At 38.5% G+C, this 15486-nt stretch overlaps 1 protein-coding gene across 23 annotated transcripts in view; it reads right to left on the bottom strand.

The window, feature by feature from the left end:
* PATJ (PATJ crumbs cell polarity complex component) overlaps positions 1 to 15486 on the bottom strand; it is a 421436-nt gene that overhangs the window by 327394 nt on the left and 78556 nt on the right. For all 23 annotated transcript variants that reach the window (XR_007061928.1, XM_011540462.4, XM_011540467.4 and 20 more), the window contains 3 exons: positions 13443 to 13577; positions 8939 to 9100; positions 2737 to 2868 (listed from right to left, as the gene is read on the bottom strand). Coding sequence is in view for 22 of the 23 variants with exons in the window: in XM_011540462.4 (XP_011538764.1) it covers positions 2737 to 2868; positions 8939 to 9100; positions 13443 to 13577 (429 nt within the window). In the remaining variant the exon portion in view is untranslated. The remainder of the gene's footprint in view (positions 1 to 2736; positions 2869 to 8938; positions 9101 to 13442; positions 13578 to 15486) is intronic.

The following is a 15486-nucleotide window of genomic DNA, read 5'->3' as shown; positions in this document are numbered from 1 at the left end:
AGGATTGAATGTGTTCCCCTCCCCATTCCCCAAGGTTTAGCTGTAGAAGTAAATAAGATGAGCCCTTTAATCTGAATCAAAATGGCCTTTAGGAAATTAAGTAGTTATGTTCTATAAGAAGCACAAAGACAAAAAGAATATCTAATCCTTTGTTGGCAGAAAATTATTTTACATAATTTGTACAGAAACAAATGTCAGTATGTGTGCTGCTGATTGAGAGGTAAATAAGAGGAAAAGGAAAATCCTATAATTCTATAAATTAAAAATAAAATTTCAAGAAACAATAGAAGTTACAATACATACCTACAGGAATGCAATGAAGAACAAAAAATTCTACATTTAGAACTGACTATAGATGTTTTTAAGCGTAAAGCTCAGAAGGGGGTTTTCCTTTTAACTAGGGATTAAATTCTTAAGGACTATCTAGTTTTTCTTTCCATCCTTTACTGAATTTTTTTGAGTTCTGAAACATTTCTCTGACTTAATATGTGCACTATTCAAAATATAAAACTTACAGATAATGTCAGTTAAGAGCATCAGAGCAACCATTATGATATAAATATGTATTATAAGAATGCAAATATATATAGATTCCTACAATAATAGAAATGCAAATGTACCTGAATATCTAAGACCACATCTGAAAGGTATCTTCTAAATTAAATCCCAATTATCAAAATCGATTATTAACAAATTCCCATTAAATCTGTTCATTCAATTCCAGTTAATTTTGGCTAACCTAGGCTGGGCATGGTGGCTCATGCCTCAAATTCCCATTAAATTTGTTCATTCAATTCCAGTTAATTTTGGCTAACCTAGGCTGGGCGTGGTAGCTCATGCCTGCAATCCCAGCACATTAGGAGGCTGAGGCAGGGGAATCACTTGAGGTCAGGGGTTCGAGACTAGCCTGGCCAAAATGGTGAAACCCCATCTCTACGAAAAATAGAAAAGTTAGGAGGGCATGGTGGTGCGTGCCTGTAGTCCCAGCTACTCAAGAGGCTGAGGCACAAGAATCACTTGAACCCAGGAGGCAGAGATTGCAGTGAGCCAAGATCGCACCACTGCACTCCAGCCTGGGCGACAGAGTGAGACTCTGTCTCAAAACAGAAAACAAACAAACAAACAAACAAAAAGGTCAGGCCTATTTTTGGCTAACCTAAACTTTATTAAATCATTCTGCAAATATTTATTAACCACCTAGTGGTTCTAGATAATATAGCTACAATGGGGAAGGAAAAAAAAGAGTCCCTGCCATTTGTTTTATATACTCTAATATTAACCAATATATAAACTTGCAAATGCTTAACTGTGTTCAGATTTCTTGATAAATATATTTTCCAAAATATTTGGAATCAAGAACTTATCATTCAGTAATATTCCAAAGAGAAATTCTAAAAAGGAAGAGGGCTATCTGGCACAGAACTATGCCAGCAAAAATGAAATAGATTTCTTTTTCAGTAAATTTAAATCACACTGCCAAAATACAGAATTTAGACTGAGCACAGTGGCTCATGCCTGTAATCCCAGCACTTTGGAAGGCCAAGGCAGGCTGATCACTTGAGGTCAGGAGTTCGAGACCAGCCTGGCCAACATGGTGAAAACCCATCTCTACTAAAAATACAAAATGTAGCCAGGTGTAGTGGTAGGCGCCTGTAGTCTCAGCTACTCAAGACACTAAGGCAGTAGAATCACTTGAACCAGGGAGATAGAGGTTGCATGCTACTGCACTCCAGCCTGGGAGACAGAACGAGACTCTGTCTCAAAAAAAATAAATAAAATAGAACGTAATATTCTTATACAATGCTCAAACTATTTTAATTTATTCCTGATTGCCTTATTATATTAAAAAAGAATTGATTTTTAAATATCACTTGGCATTTTATGGGCTTTAACAGAGTACATTTTGCTTTACTAAACCACAATGTGTTAAGGCAGCACCAAAGTAGTAAAATATGCATCTTAAAAGTTAAGAGATTTCTTGGCAACAATTTTAATTCCCCCAAATAATCAGCAGTCTGAATATATGACAGTAACTGGTAGAACCGTACAACATAGATGTCTTGTTGTGACCTTTTACATCTCCCTCCCCCAAATGTATTGGTAACTTTACCCTAGTTATAATTGGAGTAGCTATAAATAAATACATAGATATTATGTATTAACATAAATGCAATATATAACTTGACCAAGAACACTTCTATTTATTTAAGCACATTGAAATTAATAGGTAAGCTAAACTATAAACCTTCATGTGAAGGGGAGGGAGAGGAGAGTATGAATTGGGAACGAATGCTAATGTGTATGGGATTTCTTTTTTGGGTGTTGAAGATGTTCTAAAATTAGAGTGTGGTGATGGTTGCACAACTCTGTGAATATACTAAAAACGACTGAACTGTATGCTTAAAATGGGTGAATTTTATGGTATGTGAAAGATATCTGAATAAAGCTGAGGAACAAAAGTCCTCCATATAAACAAGTTCATCAAGATCCTGCTCTAAAAGCACCCATGGATATATAACTATTGCTTCCCTTATTGTCCAGTTCCTATATAATCCATCATTTTATTCACTAAGGGAGCTACTAATTTTAAAGGTAACAATTGAAAGTAGTATAATATCCCATCTTTGGGATTCAGTTTTGCTTAAGTCAATAGGGGTCTTAAACAATTGCTACTTCCCATAACTTTAATACAAACCAATCACTCCAAAGAAAACACCTCTACACAGGTTCTTATACCTGGTAATCCAAAATGCTGAATCCCAAACCTTTACAATCTTTTACTAGTTCAACAATCTTGACTTCAGGGGACCACAGTGCTAATTCCCCATCATCATCTTCTTCAGTATTGACATCCATATTGTGGTCAACCTGAAATACCAAAGAAGATAAATGCTTCAAAACACTATGCTTTCAATTCTGAAAAGAATGCACACATCAAGAATCTCACAGCTTCTTCTCAAACTGAGAATTCTCTTTGGCATGCGTAGTTTTTCTTTTTAATCTTTGTAAAAGGGGCATGCTCTGGGGCACACACACTCCAGGATAAGATCTTATAAAAATTCAAGTGCTTAAAAATTCAGACTGTTCATACAGTTTTTTTTATTAATGTGAAGAATTTATTTCATTCAAAGTATTAACACTGACCTCTTATACTTCAATGAGTTCTGTCATCCCATTAGAAGCATAAAAGGAAAAATATGCAATTTAAGTAAATGAAAACATCATACAAAGTAGAAGCTTATAAGATACGTAAGTAGCAATACCTGGCTTCATAATTACAGAGAGAGACAAAGAAAGAAATATCAACACAGAGATAGGCTGGAGCAGAACAGGGAAACCACTTCTGCTGGCTCCAGGAAGTTTTCAAGAAAAGCTTTACTAGAAAATAAGGTGAGAAAAAAAAAATCCAAGTCTTTGGACATCATTTAAGTCTAAAATGAATAAAAATCACTGAGTTGAAATAATGAAAATCTGATCTTAGAAGAAATAGGTTAGCACAACTGCCCAGTATACAGGTCCTTTGTTACTTTTCTTGATTTTACTCCTGAAAGTCCCTCTATTCTAGACTCCCTGTCTTTTTAGGAAGAAGAGTCATTGCTATGTGGAATTCCAGGAAGTTAAATGAGAGGGTCAATGAATCTACTATGCAGAAGAATGGCTGCTTCAAAAAACCTTCTGTTTTTATACTAATTATAGCATTGTACTATTGTTTTCATCTGATTGACATTCCCCCAAAATACTCTAAACTTCTATCTGAAGCTCAAAAATTATCTTTTACAGCCCAAGCAATGAACAAAATACCTGGCTCCTAAGCTAGAATGGAAACTCTGTGAGGGCTACCACAGAGTTTACCATGGTTATCAGCTCAACTATATAATGCCTGGCTCATAGTAGGCACACAATAAATAGTTGTTCAATACATTAAAAATTACCTATCTTTGAGTGTGTTTCTCTTGAAACTCCTTCTCAATAAAGGTACCAAGTAAATAATTTTTAAAAGTAGACTTTCTAAATCTTTGGGTAACCTCAGTAAATAAAAATGCATCATCTCTACACACATAATTTTGAAACACCAGTATAAGAGAAGCAATTTAATGTAAACAAAAAAGGGAAGGGAAAAACCCTCTATAATTAGGAAAATAGCTAGTTTAAAAAATTTATTTTATTTATTTATGTATTTATTCTCTCCAACATTTATTTTAGGTTCAGGGGGTATGTGTGCAGGTTTGTTATATGGGTAAATTGTGTGTCACAGGAGTCTAATGTACAGATTTTGTCACCCACATAATAAGCATAGTGCCTGACAGGTAGTTTTCTCATCCCCACCCTCCTTCTACCCTCTACCCCCAAGTAGGCCCCAGCGTATATTGTTCTCTTCTTTGTGTCCATGTGTACTCAATGTTTAGCTCCCACTTATGAGTGAGAACATGTGGTATTTGGTTTTCTGTTTCTGTGTTAATTTGCTTAGGATAATGGCCTCTGGCTCCATTCAGGTTGCTGCAAAGGACATGATTTCATTCTTTTTTATGGCTGGATAGTATTCCATGGTGTCTATGTACCACATTTTCTTTACCTAGTCCACTGTTGATGGGCATTAGGTTTGTTCCATGTCTTTGCTATTGGGAATAGTACTGTGATGAACATACACATGCATCTTTATGGCAAAACAATTTATATTCCTCTGGGTATATACGCAGTAATGGGACTGCTGGGTTGAATGGTAGTTCTGTTTTAAGTTCTCTGAGAAATCTCCAAAATGCTTTCCACAGTGGCTGAACTAATTTACACTCCCACCAGCAGTGCTAATTGTTTCCTTTTCTCCACAACCTCCCCAGCATCTGTTATTTTTTAACTTTTTAATAATGGCCATTGTGACTGGTATGAGATGGTATCTCATTGTAGTTTTGATTTGCATTTCTCTAATGATCAGTGCTATTAAGCATTTTTTCATATGGTGGTTGGCCACGTATATGTCTTCTTTTGAGAAGTGTGCGACGTGTCCTTTGCCCATTTTTTAATGGTGGCTGTTTGTTTTTGCTTGCTGTTTTAAGTTCTTTATAGATTCTTGGATATTAGATCTTTGTCAGATGCATAGTTTGCAAATATTTTCTCTCAGTCTGTAGGTTGCCTGTTTACTCTGTTGATAGTTTCTTTTGCTGTGCAAAAGTTCTTTGGTTTAATTAAGTCCCACTTGTCAATTTTTGTTTTTGTTGCAATTGCTCTTGAAATCTTCATCATGAAATCTTTGCCAAGGCCAATATCCACAATGGTAGTTCCTAGGTTTTCTTCCAGGGTTTTTATAGTTTTAGGTTTTACTTTTTTTTTTTTTTTTTTGAGACAGAGTCTCGCTCTGTCACTCAGGCTGGAGTGCAGTGGCGCCATCTCAGCTCACTGCAACCTCCACCTCTCGGGTTCATGCCATTCTCCTGCCTCAGCCCCCCCAAGTAGCTGGGACTACAGGTACCCGCCACCACACCCAGCTAATTTTTTGTATTTTTAGTAGAGATGGGGTTTCACTGTGTTAGTCAGGAAGGTCTCAATCTCCTGACCTCGTGATCTGTCCCCTTGGCCTCCCAAACTGTTGGGATTACAGGCGTGAGTCACCATGCCCGGCCTACATTTAAGTCTTTAATCCATGTTGAGCTGATTTTTGTATATGGTGAAAGGAAGGGGTCCAGTTTCAATCTTCGGCATATGGGTAGCCAGTTTTCCCAGCAACATTTTCCAAATAAGAAGTCCATTCCCCATTGCTTGTTATTGTTGACTTTGTTAAACAACAGATGCTTGTAGATGTGCACCTTTATTTCTAGGTTCTTTAACCTGTTCCATTGGTCTATGTGTCTATTTTTGTACCAATACTATGCTGTTTTGATTACTATAGCCTTGTACTACATAGTTTGAAGTTGGGTAGTGTGATACCTCTGGCTTTGTTCTTTTTGGTTAGGACTGCTTTGGCTATTTGGGCTCTTTTTTGGTTCCAAAAAATTTTTCTAAAAATTTCCTTAAAATTTAGAAAAATTTTAGAATAGTTTTTTTCTAATTCGGTGAAAAATGTCACAGAAATAGCACTGAATCTATAAATTGCTTTGGGCAGTATGGCCACTTTAACACTATTGATTCTTCCTATCCATGAGCATGGAATGTTTTTCTATTTGTGTCATCTCTGATTTCTATCAGCAGTATTTTATAATTCTCATTGTAGACATCTTTCACTTCCCTAGTTAGCTGTATTCCAGTTATTTTGTTCTTTTTGTGGCTATGTGAATGGGATTGAGTTCCTAATTTGGTTCTCAGCTTGGATGTTACTGGTGTAAAGAAATGTTACTGATTTTTGTACAGTGATACCGTATCCTGAAACTTTCTGAAGTTGTTTATCAGATCTAGGAGGCTTTGGGCAAGAGACTATGGGGTAGAAAAACATTTTTTAAATTAGGATTGGTCCAGATCTTAAACTGTCACTGCAAGACACGGGTGGTCAATAACCGATCCACAGTGGATTGAACCTAACATGGGAACAATATGAAGCTGAAAACTTGAAATGAGTGGAAACATTATGGATCAATAACCTCTGCATATTTCAGTCTGATGTGTGGAAGTGATATACTTAAAAAGAAAACACTTATATCTTCCAACAAAAAGTAAAGTTCCAATGGCTAATACAACATGATTGATGTTTTACTGGGGCATTTAATATCCTCACTGATTAATGAGTATTAGAATTTTGGCTAAGCTGCCTAACCAGATAGGGTTTAAGAATATAAGATGGTATTAGGAGAAATGAAAAAAGAGACAGATGGAAAAAGAGCCAAGACTTTAAGAAACCACACACAATTACAAAACCTGTGTTTATAGAAATTTCAAGGCATTCAAGGTACATAAGATATTATACTGCAACCTGAAATATATCACTTTGATACAATCAATTCTGCATAACTCCTGTATTTACAGAATGGAAAGCAATCAACTAATGGGCAGGAAGGTTGACATTTAGCATGATTCAAAGCTGTTGTTCACCATTGTGGTAAAGCATGACAGACGGGGGCAGAGAGTCAGCAAGTGGGGTTTGTGATTTACACACCTTGCAAGATTAGATTAAAGGCATTGTTATCAGCCTTTAGAGGGAAGCCACCACCCATATTTCATTTTGGTAAGGACAGCAAAAGTCACAAAAGTGTGGCATTTGAGTACCCTCCTTGAAATAGTTTTTACACAAGTTAAACATTTTTTTAAAAAAGAGTCAACCAATAATCAAAAATTTACCAAGCCCCTCTTATATGCCTAATATAGACTAAAAACACTATGAAATAGAAAATAATTTTAAGATATGGCCTTTGCCCACAAGGAGCTGACAGTCTTCTTGGATAAACAAGATTAATACATACTAAAGTATCTATAAGACAGTGTTAGACTCTCATGTACTTCAGGACATAAGAAAACAAAAACGGATGGACTGGCAGAGACTCAAACAGCCATAGCCGACTGTTACTGAGCACTTCCCACGTACAAGGCATTGTGTTAAGAAGTTGCTCACATTACCACATTTCCTTCTTGCACAAACTCATGAGATGGGTAAGTATGATAAGTATCACCATTTTTCAAAGGAAAAATATGAACAGAAAGTCATTTGCCCAAGATTCACAATTATGAGGTAGTAGGGGCAGGATTAGTTTCATGTATACTGAAATCCAGAACTTAAGTAAAAGGCCCCATGAATCTGAACTGGTGTTAGTGGAATTACAACCTAAAAGAGATTGAAAAGGGGGGAAAGTAGCATAAAAGATGAGGTTACAAATAGCATAAGATGGCAAAGTATGTGCTCAAAACTCTTCCAGCTGGGTACAGTCGCTCACACCTATAAACCCAGCATTTTGGGGGGTTGAGGTGGGAGGATTGCTTGAGTCCAGGAGTTTGAGACCACCCTGGGAAATACGGCAAGACCCTGACTGTACGAAAAAAATTTTTTAGTTAGCTGGGTGTGGTGGCATGTGCCTGTGGTCCCAGCTACTTGGGAGGCTGAGGCGGGAGGATTGCTTGAGCCCAGAAGGTCGAGGCTACAGTGAGCCATGTTCAAAACACTGTGCTCCAGCCTGGGGAGATCCTGTTTCAAAAAAAAAAAAAAACTCTTTTCATAGTAACAGTGCTCTTTAAAAAAATAAATAAATAAGGAGTACCAAGAGCATATAAAGTGTTATTTCATTCTCTGATCTTCTGAAGGGTTTTATGGCAATTTCCAGACTCACTTTGAAATTTATCATAGAGTTTCTTTTTTTTTTTTTTTGAGATGGAGTTTCGCTCTTGTTGCCCAAGCTGGAGTGCAATGGCGTGATCTCAGCTCACCGTAACCTCCGCCTCCCGGCTTCAAGTGATTTTCCTGCCTCAGCCTCCCAAGTTGCTGGGATTACAGGCATGCGCCACCATGCCTGGCTAATTTTTTCTACTTTGAGACAGGGTTTCTCCATGATGGTCAGGCTGGTCTCCAACTCCCGACCTTAGGTGTTCCACCCACCTCGGCCTCCCAAAGTGCTGGGATTACAGGTGTGAGCCACCGCGCCCGGCTGAGTTTCATAATTTTAAGGCTCTTAAAAAGGGGAGTACATTAGATATGCAACACTCGCAAACACCTTAAACTTATATAAGACAAACTGCGTTGAACTAGAAGCCAAAAGTAATGAATCCAGGCAATTACTAAAAACAAAGATTCTCTAAAATCAAAATCCATGTGCATCAATGTTGCCAACATGTCAAGGAAAGGGAAGGAAAGAATTTTTTGATGTTAAATGAAGAGTAACAATTTGAAAAGCTATGCATTGTTGCCTTAGTCAAGCAAAAAAAGAGCAGAGTGGAATGGTTTCCCCTCCCTTCTTATTGCAGCACAGTCTTCGGGGCATCTTTGATGAATGGGCATGCCTATGGGAAATGCACTATATTCATTTAGTACCTCTGTCTCAGGAAGAGAGGTTTCAGTGCGCCTTGGTTCATCTACAGAAGCTTCATCATCAAACAACCTCCGACAGCAAACCAAAGTAAAAGGGGGTGGCACTTCTTTAAGAAAGGAGACTGCTTCTCGGCGAGATTTTCCATAAAGCTGCATGCCATTGACCTAGGAAGACAAGGGGATAAGTCAGAACTGAGCCAGCCCCAAATGAAAAAACAAAAATCTCTTATTTATATCCATCTACCAAAATGAAAATAGGACATCATTTTATTTTCCCTGTAAACAAGGGGCCTCGCTTTCATCATATTATTTATGATTAAATAATATGCAAATAAAAATGTTAGAAATCCTTAAAATTTTTAAAATCTAAGGCTAAATCTTTGCATGTATTGATGGATAAAGTACAAAATGCATGCAGCATACGCCCTTACTGGGTAAGGGATCTACCAAATTTTTTGCAGCACTGTGGTTTCTCCTTTCAATACTCCAATGTCATACTCTCTTACCTACCTCTACTCAGCTCCCCTTAAACACACTAAGTATCATTTACAGCCCTTTAAGACTGTTTCCCTTTGCATTTTCATTTTATAAGAATATCACTACAGAAATTTAAGGATGTTAAAAAAATGTTTAATTTACTGCTTAAAGTATAGCTAATAAGTCTAGAATACTTGGCTGTCAAAATTTAACGTCAGTCCACAATATTCTTTCACATCCCACACACTCTTAATACCATCCTAGAAAAATAACTTCTATTGAAAAGAAATATACTTTTGCATCAGTTACATGCTCTGCTGATACAGCAATCAAGCATATATAGAAAATACTAAAATAATTTTTAAAATAATTTTATGCAAGTGTCTCATATGTTTAAAAGAAAAAAGTATTCTTTATTAATGATTAATCCTTGTCACCAAAAAATTATCTAAATTTCATATTACTTTTGGCACATAATAATAATACTTGGCTCCAAAGATGATTTGGCTACATAATTCTAATTTTTCATATATATAACTTGAGCTCAAAGGGTCCTGTCAGTTCTAACTATAGGTCTCTAAGAGCTGATCTGTCTGCTACTCCCAAAAAGCTGAGGCATGAACAGAATCCAGGCAACAAATAATCTTTTCGCATCTGACTCCTACCCTCCTGGGAGGGTTTAGAAGCAAGCATTATTTGTTTTAAAGATATTTCTAGTCTGGCATTAATTTCTAATAGGTGCCGTGCTAATGTTCAGATAACTGGCCAGCCTGACTTTACTCGGAGAAGCCCTTCTACAAATCTTTCACTGCACCAGAGAGGAAGAGGACACTGGGTTGCTGGAAACCTTCAGCAGCGGGCTGAGTCTCAGGTCCACTATTCCTGGGAACCACTCTCAAGCCTGTAACATATCAAGCACTTTGCCATCAAGTCAGACATATCTCCCTGCCTCTTAATTATTTACAAAGAAACCACCACATGGTAAAGAGACCCACGTGCACTTTAGGAAGCTAGCTCTACTGGTAAGTCTTCATGACAAATGAAGAGGTCTAGGCGACAGCAAGCTCAGCAGTTGATGAAAGGTTTTTCCTTGGGATAACTGCAAGTCAACCTTTACACAAGAAGAGGCAGGGAGGTACCCATCACTGGTCACACCGTATCCATGATTTCAACTGGTGTCACAGGTGCACAAAGTTCTAAAATCAACTAAATGGGTAGTAACTTACACTAAAAAAAGGCACGGAGATAGAATCAGAGCAGGAATTCTTCCCATACATGAGTATGAGTTTGTGTTTCACTTCAACAAATTAGAAAGTCACTTTTCAGGTTTTTATCTTGGAGTGCCTTTAAATATTTATTTATCTCATTATTTATTCATTTGAATTGTCTCCAATTATTATACCAGTGCCTGGTAGTCCTCCTCACTGCTCTGTTGCTAAAGGGATTGGTCTCATTTCCCATTACCAACTCCTATCTAAGGGGATTTATAGCTGCTGTAAATAGCTGTTCTGGGCTGAGACTTGGCACAGTGTTCTAACCCCAAAGCATATTTGTGTTTCTGGTTTTAAGTTCCAAGGAGTACATTAAACACACACACACACACACACGACACTTTGAGTTCAGGAGTTTATTTGGCTAACTGTACTGAGACTTTTAAATTTTGTATTTTTGGTTATTCAGAAGCAGCTAATTTTTATTTTAGAATTCACAATACTTCTCAAGGTCCTTCAACTTGTGACCCTCCTAAGTGCTGTCAAATCTCAATTATCCCAAGTTTTTGACTGGAAAATGCACACACACATACACACTTCCAGAGTACAGAACATTGCACAAGTGTGGCCCCACTATTTTACCACATCCAACCATTATCCCAGCCCATATAGCCTGTTAAAATGCCTTCTTCACAGTGATAATATTGCCAATACCCCAAAATGAGATAATGCTTTATAATTTACATGGATGGTATTTCATTAGATCCTTACAAGCACATAGTGAAGTGGGCATTTATTGATGAAGGAACTGATTCTCAACAAAGTCAAGTGACATGCCAAGGGACACATGCTAACCTGTGGCAATTCAGACCAAAAGTGGCTTTTCTGACTCCAAATCTGTGCTTCCTTCCTTATCCCAAGCTCTTTCACCAGATTATCTATATTTAAGAATTCAAAAAATCTTCACACTACCTTATTATAGCACATTCTTTTACAAGGTGGTAGGCCCATGGGATCCTAGTCTTGGCTAAATCATACAGAATTCAGCTGATGGCTGGGATCACCTATACTTTCTATACTGTGATCCAGCCAACATTTCTTTAGTGCCTACCACATACTAGTAGTGATTTATACTTAATACCACCAAATTTCACACTTAAAAATGGTTAAAATGGGCCAGGCATGGTGGCTAATGACTGTAATTCCAGTACTTTGGGAGGCCGAGGTAGAAGAATTGCTTGAGGCCAGGAGTTCAAGACCAGCATGGGCAAAATAGCAAGACCCTGTCTCTGCAAAACAACTAAAACTAGCAGGGCATGGTGGCGCACAGCTATGGTCCTAGCTACTCGGGAGGTTGAGGTGGGAAGATTGCTTGAGCCCAGGAGTTTGACGCTGCAGTAAGCTATGACCACACCACTGCACTCCAGCCCAGGCAACAGGGTGAGACTCTGACTCTAAAAAAAAAAAAAGGAAAAAAGGTTAAAACGGTAAATTTCATGTTATATATATTTTGCCACCAAAAAAAAAAAAAGTGGACCGGGTGCAGTGGCTCACACATGTAATCCCAGCACTTTGGGAGACTGAGGTGGGTGGATTGTTTGAGTTCAGGGGTTTGAGACCAGCTTGGGCAACATAGCAAGACCCCGTCTCGAAAAAAAAAAAAAAGTGAATTAAATTGGTTATACTCATACCTCCATTTCTCCCAAACAAATATATCTCATTTCTCAATACGTAATAACTACATACTACAGCAATAGTTTCCAATCTACAAATGATCATGTATGATATCCACAAAGATATGGCCGTGCCCAGCCAATAAGAAGCTGGGTCAAAAAGAAAGCATAATTATTCTAATAAAATGTAGGGCATTAATCTGCAATAAGAAACCTAATACCATTCCCTTGAACACCTCTAAAAATAAGCAACTTACTACATCTTAAAACAGGACTCCAATACCCTACCCTCCCATGCTTATGACAGAATTTGATAACTAGTCATAGCACTTTTCCCTCTGAAATTGAAATTCAACCAGAATCCTTCCCATTATACTCCTTTAGGTGGCTGGACACTACTAATAAATTACAATTACACACAACATGAGACCTACTTGGTATCCCTGTCATTTCACTATGAGCAAACATAAATTTTAGAAAAAAAAAATCTCTAAAATCAAGGCCCATGGGATTCTGATCTTGGCTAAAGCTACTAGGTTGATTCTATTGAATCCAACCTAGGGCTTCTTGTGTATCCTAACACTTGGGAGAACCCTCTTCTATGCAGTCTTTTTGTGTGACCATTCCCCAAGACCTTTCCTCTCAAGAAAGTCCTTTCAAAGCAGAGGTGCTCTAGAACTGCTTTGATTAAAGAGAGGCTGGAGAGCCTGGGCAAGCCCAATAGAGGCTGCCATTTTGAGGGAGAAGTCCCAAGGAGAAAACGTGAAAACCAGTATGCCTGAGGTCATTCAGCTGTAGTCCTTGTTAGAAATAATCAATAAAACCTGCAAATAAATGTGGTTATATGTTGCAACAAGGCTCAGGGATTCAAATTTTGCTAAAAAAGAATACTAATATGCTATCAAACTTCTTTCCTAGTCATTCATTTAAATAAAGAACATCTCAGGAGCCTCAAAGATGGGGAAAATAAACTGAAAGCATAGCTACTTCCTTTATCATCCAGTAAGCTGTTCGGTTTTTTCAATCTAAGAGGCTCATATTACATTGGCATTGGTGACACTATAACTCAGGGGATTTGTGATGAGAACACGTTTTCCTAAAACTTACAGATTCTTGCCTGTGTCTTTCTTTCCCCATAAATTTTACCTCAAGCAGCTCATCTTCTGGCTGTAGGAGACCCAATGTATCAACAGGACCACCAGAAACAATTGAAGAAATATAATGGTGCCCATCAAAGGAATCCACTTCCACACCAAGCCTCAGAGTGTGAATAGGCAGCAGCTGTAGCAAAACACAAAGCAATGATCAAACATGACAATGACACATCCGGCTATTCATCCTCCATCCAGTGCTATTTTGAAGTGAAAAACCCCACCTCTTGAATTAGATCACCAAAATCCTAAAAGAGGACAATAATAGGAAAATTAGCTTCAGGTAAAATTATGAAGTCATTGGTCATCTTGTTCTCACTCCTCTTTTCCTTCCGGATTCCCTGGAAATGAGGAGACAGATGTATACAGTCTTACCTTCAATTCTAAGCTCCAGGCAGTCCACACTTCCGTAGTCCCCAGTATATATGCTGTGTTTCACTTTTCTATGGGACTCCCCATCCCCTAGAACATCCTAACTTTTCTTTATTATCTAATTAACTTCTACTCACACTAAATACCATGGCAGGAAGCCCTGAGTTCATGAGCCTCCATCTGGGGTTCAAGACTGCCCTCTGTACATCTCCATCACATCTCACAACATACTGGGCTTAGAATTTCTTTTCTTTTCTTTTTTTTTTTTTTTTTCTGACACAGTCTCGCTCTGTTGCCTAGGCTGGAGTGCAGAAGCATAGTGGTGCAATCTCAGCTCACTGTAACCTTCACCTCCCGGGTTCAAGCAATTCTCATGCCTCAGGTTCCCAAGTAGCTGGGACTACAGGCGTGCGCCACCATGCCTGGCTAATTTTTTTGTATTTTTAGTAGAGACGAGGTTTCGCTATGTTGAGAATTCCTAGTCTCTTGACTGTCCCTCTTCCACTCCTTACCTGAATGCAGAGTCTGTACCTTTAATCTCCATAACTTCAGCCCTGGAACAGTACCTGGCACTAAACATGGGCTCATTAAATGTTATTTGAACTAATCCATGAAAAATAGTGCCTCATTTAAGATGTCCTTTTCCATCTAGCCAACTTAAGTGAAAACATTTCCGATTTGGGAAAGGCAATCGTTTATCCATTCTAGGTCTGTGAGGATTCATATGGGCTGAGATACGAGTCAAGGGCTGAGAAACTCTAGCCAATGTCGAGTAAAGAGATGAGTGTCTCAGTTGCACCCATCTTTGTTGGTTGTAACAGTCAAGGGCATTCACCAAACTCCATTCCCCTGACTTTCAAAGACAGACTAAAGATTTCTCATTGTGGCCTTATAATCTCAAATACGGTAAATGGTACTCATGATGATTTGCATTTCCTGTATCAATAGTCTGATACCTAAAAAACACCAGACCTACCTCGAACTATATTTTATAAGGAGAAAACCCTACACAGGGTGGCAGTGCATCTACCATGTGGCTCTCTTCCTCTTCTCTGTGATCTTCTATCCCTGAGCTTGCCACCTCCCTCAGTCTTCTGCTTTCAGTCCCCAGAGTGCCACAGGCCTTCCTTCAGACAACATCTGAGGCTCACTTCTGTCTCACTATAGACATGCAGACAAATGTGAAGTGGCAAGGAGTCTGGCTGACTAAGACCTCAACACGCACATGAGGGACTTCTAGCCCTGGGATAATTTCCTGAAAATTAAGTGCTCCTGACCACTAAGCACTTCAGGATCTGCGACCATCTCTGGCAAGAAGATGTTCTAGTTCTCTAAATGAAAGGCTAAGATAGTTTTTCCGGCCGGGCATGATAGCTCACGCCTGTAATCCCAACACTTTGGGAGGCCGAGCGGGAGGATCACAAGGTCAGGTGATCGAGACCATCCTGGCTAACACGGTGAAACCCTGTCTCTACTAAAAATACAAAAAAATTAGCCGGGCATGGTGGCAGGCGCCTGTAGTCCCAGCTGCACGGGAGGCTGAGGCAGGAGAATGGCATAAGTAAACCCGGGAGGTGGAGCTTGCAGTGAGCTGAGGTTGCACCACTGCACTCCAGCCTGGGCGACAGAGCGAGACTCAGCCTCAAAAAAAAAAAAAAAGATAGTTT

This window comes from Homo sapiens, chromosome 1 (assembly GCF_000001405.40).
Source record: "Homo sapiens chromosome 1, GRCh38.p14 Primary Assembly".
NCBI lineage: Eukaryota > Metazoa > Chordata > Mammalia > Primates > Hominidae > Homo > Homo sapiens.
Note: the sequence above shows the minus strand (reverse complement) of the source record. Positions and strands in the feature narration are given on the sequence as shown.